Genomic DNA, 9,216 nt, shown 5'->3' with positions numbered 1-9,216 from the left:
TCCTTTTTCTTTTCCTTTTTTTTTTTTTTTTTTTTTGAGATGGAGTTTTACTCTGTTGCCCAGGCTGGAGTGCAGTGGCACAATCTCAGCTCACCGCAACCTCCGCCTGCCGGGTTCAAGTGATTCTCCTGCCTCAGCCTCCTGAGAAGCTGGGATTACAGACACATGCCACCACACCCAGCTGATTTTTGTATTTTTAGTAGAGTCGGGGTTTCACCATGTTGGCCAGGCTGGACTGGAACTCCTGACCTCAAGTGATCTGCCCGCCTTGGCCTCCCAAAGGGCTGGGATTACAGGTGTGAGCCACCGCGCCCAGCTGATGCTTCTCTTTAGGTGGGTCCTTGCGGCTCTCCCTGGTGTCCACTGTACAAGCAAAATGTCAGCAGGAAAGGATTTGACACGTGTTGCCCACACTTAGATACTCCTTTGGACTCACATTGCCTTTCTGGGGTGCATTTGCATTATAAAGTTTCTGGGTTTATCTGTGTAGCAAAAGACAGATGTTAAAACCCTCAAGGGCCTTCTTTGCAAGACCCTGCATATCTGAGGCTGACTCCTGGGGCAGTGCTAGCCTTGAGTCCTACACCAGCACATGCTTCCTGGGGCAGAGCCTGTCCCGCCCTACGCAGTTCCATTTCTCGCCCCTGTGCCCACCCCATCTTCATTGACCATTTACTGCACAGTCTTCCCTCCACGCAGGAAGGGACTCACAGTCTAAGGGAAAGACAGACGTGGGTTGCCTGGAGGTTGAGCAACTGTGGCTCGTAGGATGTGATCATAACATAGATTTATCTTTTTCTCTCACAATTCCTTTGTATTTTTTTTTTCTGGAGGTTCCTGTTCTCCCTGTCCCTGGATGAAAACTGAGACAAAGCCTCAAAAATTTCTGGCTGGACTTAAATTTTAAAAACCCAAAGCTATGGCTACTTTGAAGTCACAAAACAGTTTCAATGCATGAAGTGAAATGTCCAGTCTCAGGAAAATAAAATTTCAAAACTTGAATTAAGGTTCAGGCATCTCCCTTTTTCCAGTTGGGATCTGCTGCAGAGAGGAAACCTCTGTCAGAGAAGGGGACAGAGGCATCTTTGCTAGCTTGGGGGAGGGGCATTTCAGGCCAAGGAGCACCACTTGTTCAGGGACTCGCATGCTGCTTGGTGTGGTTGAGACATCATGGTGGGTGGAGAAAATAGGGGTGGAGGTGGAGGGGATGAGGCTTGAATACACCACGGGAACCAAATCGTGCAGAGCCCTGCAGGCCTTGCTAAGGAGTTTGGACCTTCTCCAAAGGGGCGATTTTGTAATCAACTCTTTATGTAGTTGTCTCCTCCACCAAAGAGTGAAGCCGTTGAAGCCAGGAACCAGGTATTAGTCGTTGCAGAACCCTCCAGGCCAGTTGTGTGTCTGCTGCCCAGGCTGTGAGCTCTTAAGTGCTGGCTGAATGGAAAGAATGATGATCGCAGGCAAACTGTGATGTCTGTCTTTCATTTGTTTGTTTCTCACTGCTTTCTAGTAATGAGAAAGGCTGGGAGATGGTGAGTATTTCTTGGCTAAGTCTTACCGCCGATGGTTGGGAGCTGCTTTGGAGGAGGGAACACTTGCCCTCACTGCACAGTTGGCAGGCACTTCCTCCAGGAAGTTTGTCTTGATGCAGAGAGAGGATTTCCCCCAAAGTAAAAGTTACCAAGTGCTGAAATCCAACCTTCCTCCCATCCTCTTGAAATGAACCTGTCCATTTTGCCTCCCTAGTGGGTGGGGATTAACTTGAGCATCCAAATCAAACAAAACAGGCACCCTTTGTGCGATGATGGGGAACCATAGCTGTGGCCGATTTGCCCTGAGGGAGTAAACTTGTTAACTTGGGGTGGGTGACTGAAGTTCGAGATGCTGAGAGGCTTTAGAACAGTGCCTTACAGGGTGAAGAGCACCGTGTGGAGCAGGCAGGCACAAGGTCACCCCAGAAAGGCACATGGTTTCAACAACGAATCAGAAGCAGGGTACAGGGTTGGAGCTGGTTAAAGGAATCTGCTAATGAACTGCTCAGAGGCTGCAAGATTGCTTTTGAGCCTCTCCGAAGAAATGAAAAAATGTTTTTCAGTGGAACAGCTTCAAATATTTCCTTTAAAGATCTGGTGAGCAGGCCTGGCGCGGTGGCCTGTAATCCCACCCAGCACTTTGGGAGGCCAAGGTGGGCGGATCACAAGGTCAGGAGATCGAGACCATACTGGCTAACACAGTGAAACCCCGTCTCTACTAAAAATACAGAAAAATTTAGCCGGGCATGGTGGTGGGTGCCTGAGTCCCAGCTACTTGGGAGGCTGAGGCAGGAGAATGGCGTGAACCCGGGAGGCGGAGCTTGCAGTGAGCCGAGATTGCGCCACTGCACTCCAGCCTGGATGACAAAGCGAGACTCCGTCTCAAAAAAAAAATCTGGTGAGCAAAGGAGGAGGAACACTTACTAGCGTCTACTGCATCCCTGGACTGAGCAGATGATGAGGACACGAAGGAAGAATCAGTCCATAGACAGTGAGCTCCACAGGAAGGACTTGGTTTAGTTCACCACTCTCGTCCTGCCAGCACCCAGCACAGTGTCTGGCACATAGCATGAGCTTCACAAGCATTTGTTGAATGAATACGTCACAGTGCTTGCCTCCGGAACTTACTGTCCAGTGGTAGACAGACCTTTAATCCCGTACACACTATGCAGTGTGAGAAGTGCTAGGGCTCTGTATGGGTTGCAGTTGGGCCCCAAAGGTAGGGCGTGCCCATTTCCTCTGCAGTGTGCCATTCATTCATTTACCCATTCATTCTTTAATTCAACAAACATTGAACACCTCCTATTTATGGAGAATCCCATCTATATCTCCATCTGGACTGGGTTATGAATGGTTTAATTTGCTCTTTTATTGATCTGTATGGCTTCTGGAAATGGGTGGCCCCATCAGTTTTAGGCGGCTATGATTACACACAGTAATCCAGAAGTTTCTTTCATGTCTCAACTTTTAAAGTATTATTTTTCTAAAAGTTGTTTCCTATTTATAGACGTTAGTTCACACACACACACACACACACACACACACACACACACACACACACAGATACACCACTACCTATAACTTTTGTTGCTAACAAGTCTGGCTGAGAAACTGTGAATTCCTTGGCATGTTTTTCTGATACCATCATCTTTCTATTAACATGACTAATCTTTAAAGTTCTTGAGTAAGAGAAGGTAAGAGGAATTGTCCAAGAGGACAACTTGCCAATCCAGCCTTAGCCTCCAGGCCTGGAGGTAAACAAACATCCTATCCTTGTCTTCATCTTTGCTGCAGTGTTGACTTCATGCTATCTCTGGCACAAGCCCCTATTTTTTTCCCTTGCATACTTAGCTGGGTCAGAACACAACCTGGGTCAGAACACAACCTGGGTCAGAACCCTGGCTTAAAAGCGAACAGAGGGAGAGCACAGGGAACACGGAAAACACCCCAGGCCTTCATAGCCAAACAAAAGCTTCTCCAAATGTAGGGAGCCCTTCTCATCCACTCGTGTTAACTCAAGCATTAATCAAGCACTATCCACCTTCCCAGCTTAACACTCCCATTAAAAGGGCAAACACGCCATGGAAACCAAATGCCAAAATAGGCAAAGGACCTGAACGGGCATTTCACCAAAGAGGATATACAAGTGGCCAATATGCACAGAAGAGATGCTTCTCAGCCATCAGGGAAACACAAACCAAAACCACAATGTGTTACCACTTCACACCCAGTAGAATGGCTATAATAAAAAAGAAATAATAACAAGTGTTGGTGAGGATGTGGAGAAACTGGAACCCTCATCCACTGTTGGTTGGAATGTAAAGTGGTGTGGCCACTTTGGAAAATAGTTTGGCAGTTCCTTAAAATGTTAAATATAGAGTTACTAATTAACCTAGCAAGTCTGTTCCTACGTATATACCCAAGGAAAATGAAAACATGTTCACACAAAAATCTTTTACACAAAAGTTTATAGATTTATTCATAAAAACCAAAAAAGGAAACAGTACAAATGTCCTTCCACTAAAGAATGGATAAATAAAATGTAGTGTAGCCACACAATGGAATATTGTTTGGCAAGAGAAAGAAATGAAGTATTACGTGTGCTGCAACATGAGTGAACCTCAAAAACATCATGCTAAGTGAAAGAAGCCAGTTACAAAAGACAAAAGATGTAGTGCATGATTCCATTTGTATGAGATGTCCATAACAGGCAAATCTATGGAGAAAGAAAGTAGATTAGCCAAGGGCTAGGGACGGCTGGGGGTAGGGGTGGGGAGGAATGAGAATGACTGCTAATAGCGATGGGGTTTTTTTCTCTTTGAGTGATAAAAGCATTTTAAAATTAGATTGTTGTGGTGGTTGCACAACTCTGTGACTGTACTAAAAATCTGTGAATTGTGCACTTCAAATGGGTGAATTGGATGGTATGTGAATTATATCTCAATAAAATGGCTAAAAAGCAAAAGAAAGCAAATATCAGGAGAAAACCAAATAAATTCCAATGCATCTGGAAGGTACCACCCAAACCGTCATTAATGTCTAGAAAATTCCCTCCTCCTTGACCAGTTTATTTTCTTTTTCTTTTAATTAATTAATTCATTTTTTTCAAGACAGGGTCTCGCTCTGTCATACAGGCTGGAGTGCAGTGGATCGATCTTGGCTCATTGCAACCTCCACCTCCCAGGTTAATGCAGTCCTCCCGCCTCAGCCTCTCAAGTAGCTGGGACTACAAGCGCATGCCATCACACCTGGCTATCTGTGTATCTTTTGTAGAGATGGGGTTTTGCCATGTTGCCTAGGCTGGTCTTGAACTCCTGGGCTCAAGCGATCCTCCTGCCTCAGCCTTCCAGCGTTGGGACTACAGGGATGAGCCACCCGGCCTGGCCGAGTAGTTTCTATTGAAAGAAACAATTGTCTTTGTCTCCAGGGGTATCTGAGGTTGAGTTTTTCTACTTGGCCCGAGGACCAATCCCGATGCCATCTTCATCTCCTGCCTTTATAATCCTATGGGGGAGTTCTCACCTCTGCAGAGAGAAACAAGCCAAGAGAGGCCAAGTCACTTGTCCAAGGTTGCATCTCAAGAATGAACATGGCCTGGGTTGGGCCCTTTCTGGAGGTTGAAGTCTGCTCTTCCTAAGGTGCTAAGAGACAATAGCCTATCTCCACTAAATTACGTTAAAAAAATTTTTTTTATTCTCACCCCCTCTCAGAGGTCTAAGAGATTTAAAAGGATTTAGGAAAATGCATTTTGGATTATAAGCAGCTTAATGGATTTTTCCAACTGGGAACCTCCACCTCAACCCCTTGTCTCAGTGTACCCCAAATTTATTGTCACTTTTTATGTGTGCCAGGGCATGAAACAGGTTGGGAAGCACAGGGTTAAAAGACAAAATTTTCCTGGGCATCTTTTTTGGCTGAAGGACTGGACTAGACGGAGGTGTCTCCCTCTGGCTCATATATGATTCCCACAAACCAGAAAATGAGTTAAGACAAATGTTAACTCATTGTTAACTCAATGTTAGGATAGCTGTCTCTCAGGGAAGTTGTGAGAACCCAATAAGATGATATCTATAATGTGCTTAGCTAGTGCCTGGCACTCAGCCACGGGTCAATAAAATGTAACTGCCATGCTTGTTAACTGCACATGGTCTTGTTATTGGACCAAACTGGGATCCACTCACCTGGTGCAATAAAGTCCAACCTTGGCATCAAGATTGCAGAGTGCCAAGCAAGGAGAATGGGGCAGCTCATGCTTAATACCTGAACTCCTCCATGGCTTACAGACAAGGGTTTTTAAAGGTGAGAAGGCAGAGGTTACAGGCAACGTCATAAATCAGTGCATGGGGGCTATACATGAGTTTGACCTAAAAAGGAGGGCCATCTCAAAGCAGGAGGGAGGGGGTAGCCAGGAGTCACAGATGGATTCAAAGGTTTTCTGATTTGCAATTGGTTAAAGAGGCAAAGTTTTGTCTAAAACTTTGGGATTAGCAGAATATTAGTTCTGGCCCAGGGGCGTGACCTCTGCCAGGCCCCTCAGGAAGAAATTTAGAATGATGAAGAACAGTGGTCAGAGTTTGGTCCTTAGTCCTCCCTATCTGACGTCTTTGAGCCAGTGGATCCATTTGGTGGAGGTCCAGGTTTCTGCCAAACAACACAGGGACATGTGTTAAGATGTGATCTTTAGTTTCTATAGGGGGACCAAACATCCCATGATTCTCACTTCCTTCACTACTGTTTTAAGCTACTATCACCTTCTGGCTTATCCAGATGCTCATTTACTTTGCAGGGCTAGCTACTTGCCTGGAATTTCCCTTGAAGGAACTCAAGATTTTCCTCTATTTCCACGCTTGGGGGATCCCTGCAGGTCCCTAAGAGGGGTCCCTGCTCTTAGTCTCCCTACCCTGGCAGTTGTCTGGGGCCAGTTTGGGCTTGCAGACTGACCACTGCCCCTTGTGCATTATTTCATTGATTAGGAAGAACCAACTCATTTTGACATCTTCCTAAAATCTCCATCACAATTGAGAAAAGAAATCTGAGGGGAGAAAAAAGGAGTCACATCTTTATGTCACATGTGGGGGCTGGCATGTCAGGGCATGTGAGAGAAGTTTTCAGGGATTCTATTTGCATGAAAATTCTTAAAGTTTTCTGGGAGCCGCGGAGGCAAGTTGAAACATAGTTGGCCCTGGGCTGAGATGCTGGAGCAAGGGCAACAGCTGCTTCTTGAACACTTGGAGGTTTGTCTCCCAGGGTTCCTGTTATCTATTGCTGGGTAACAAGTTACCTCAAAATTTAGTGGCATAAAATATCAATGACTTATTGTTTCTCATGATTCTGGGGGACATGAATCCAGGGCTTGACTGGATTGGCTCTTTCTTCCATGTAGTGACAGCTGAGTCACTGATCTGCTGCAGACGGATGGTGGCTGTGCTGTGCTGGAAGGTTCAGGAAGGCTTCACTCACATGTCTGGCACCTTGATCTTCCTCTGTGTGGCCTCTTTCTCTCCACATGGTTTCTCATTCAGAAGTCTAGCCCAAGTTTCCTTACAGTATGGTGGTTGGCTTCATTAGAGAGCATGAGAACCTAGGCCTTTTCACATCCTTGATGCAGGAGTTTCAGCTCCTTAGCTCAGCTAGGTCTGGGTTCTTGTCTCATGACCAGGAAGAAGTAGGCATGCAGATACAAGAAGAGTGAGCAAGGTGGGAAGTTTTACTGAGTGATGAAACAGCTTTTAGCAGGGAGGGGACACTGGGGTGGTTCCCCTACCTGAAGGCAGGAGGGTTCCCAATATGGCTGAGCCTGGGGCTTTTTATGGCCTCAGAATAGGGAGTACATGCTGATTGGTTTGTGAGTGTGCAAAAAAGGTTAAAGCAAAAACACCACTCAAAGGTGGGCACGATAGTGTAGAAAACCAATTAGGAAAGGGTGGGTATGTGTAAATAGGTGAAGGATGGGGATCAATCAGAGGAAAGTGTGCCAAATGGGAAAGCCAGTTCCCAATCCGGTTTGAGGATTTACTGGGACTGTTTCCTTCTTGAAGGTTGGGTTTCCCCGGAGACCCATCCTATCTGCCTAGGCATTTTTCTGCCTCCTGCCTCTATCATTCTCATAAGGGCTAGGAATGGAGAGGAACTTCTGTCTCATTCTATTGGTTAAAACAGGTCACAGAACTAGCCCAGATTCAAGGAGAGAGGAAATAGAGTCTGTCTCTTGATGGAAAGAGTGGCATGGTTATAAAATGAGGGGAGGCATTGATGGTGGTCATCTTTAGAGACCATTCACTATACACAATGATCTGGGAACGCATATTTTGGGAAGAGAGAAACAAGATTCTTTAGTCAGTCAGTCTTTGGGCACTAGTTGAAGGAGGGGAAATTTTGGAAGAAACATTGAGATGTAACACTAAAATTGTTCCTTGACTCAATTCCAAGAGAACATATTTTTGGAAATCTTTGGGTCAGGGACTGAAAGAAAGCAAAAAATCATGGAAAAAATATATTTTTTTGTAGAAACAAGGTCTTGCTATGTTGCCCAGGTTGATCTCGAACTCCTGTCAAGCGATCCCTCCAATTTGACCCCTTAAAGTAATAGTCCATGTTTAGGTTGTTCAAGTTTAGGCTTACAGGTATGAGCCACTGTGCCTGGCCATGGAAAAGATTTTAAATAACAAGGGTGTTATAATACACTGTAAGAGCAAGACCCCTTTCTGCTGGATTCTGATAAAAGAATTATAACTGGTCAGGAGACGGCCTTCTTCTGTCAGTGAATGACACGGAGTCATGTCAGGAGAAGCCAGCGCCTACAGGAATCAATGGGCCGATCCCAGTGAAATCGGAGGGAGCACTGCGCACGTGGCAGTGAAGAAGCCCAGGGCTGTGGCAAGCCCTCTTCAAGTGGGGCACTAGGAGAGTATCAGCTACTGAGACCAAGGCCACCAGATGGAGGCATGGAGTTTGGCTTTGGAGGCTGTTGCTGAAGATCCATTTGGCCTGTAGACCACATGAAGCAGCCCTGAACCCTGCTAGGGGCAGGAGGAACAAGTGGGGCTAGATGCCAGTGACGGCTCCCTGCACCCCTCTCCCTTGATTATCTCCCAAATGGGGAAGCACAGCCCAATTAGGTTATATGCTTCTGGGGGTCACCCTCTCCTAGAGTAAATATTTTAGAGCTGAGCATATGGCTAAATATTATTGTTACTTTGAGAGATAGATTCTCGCTCTGTCACCCATGCTGGAGTGCAGTGGTGCAATCACAGCTCATTGCAGCCTCCACATCCTGGGCTTAAATGATCCTCCTGCCTCAGCCTCCCGGGTAGCTGGGACTACAGGTACACACCACCATGCCCAGCCAATATTTTTGTAGAGACAGGCCCTGCCTATGTTAGGCCCATTGCTGATCTAGAACTCCTGGGCTCAAGCAATCCTCTCACCTCCACATCCCAAAGTGCTGGAATTACAGATGCGAGCCACCACACAGGGCCAAAAAATTCTTTTAGAATACATCTTTTGCTACTCTGAATCAATTGCTTTGAATTTCACCAAAGTGGGCTTCACAAAGGAACAGCATCAAGGATGTTTGAATATTCTCTTCAGACAGCACAAACATGGAATACAATTCAGCAAGCAAAAGAAACTCACTATTGATACCTGAACCAATTTGGATGAATCTCAAAGGCATTATGCCGAG

This window comes from Homo sapiens, chromosome 17, assembly GCF_000001405.40.
Source record: "Homo sapiens chromosome 17, GRCh38.p14 Primary Assembly".
Taxonomy (NCBI): domain Eukaryota; kingdom Metazoa; phylum Chordata; class Mammalia; order Primates; family Hominidae; genus Homo; species Homo sapiens.
This window is presented reverse-complemented; position numbering follows the sequence as displayed.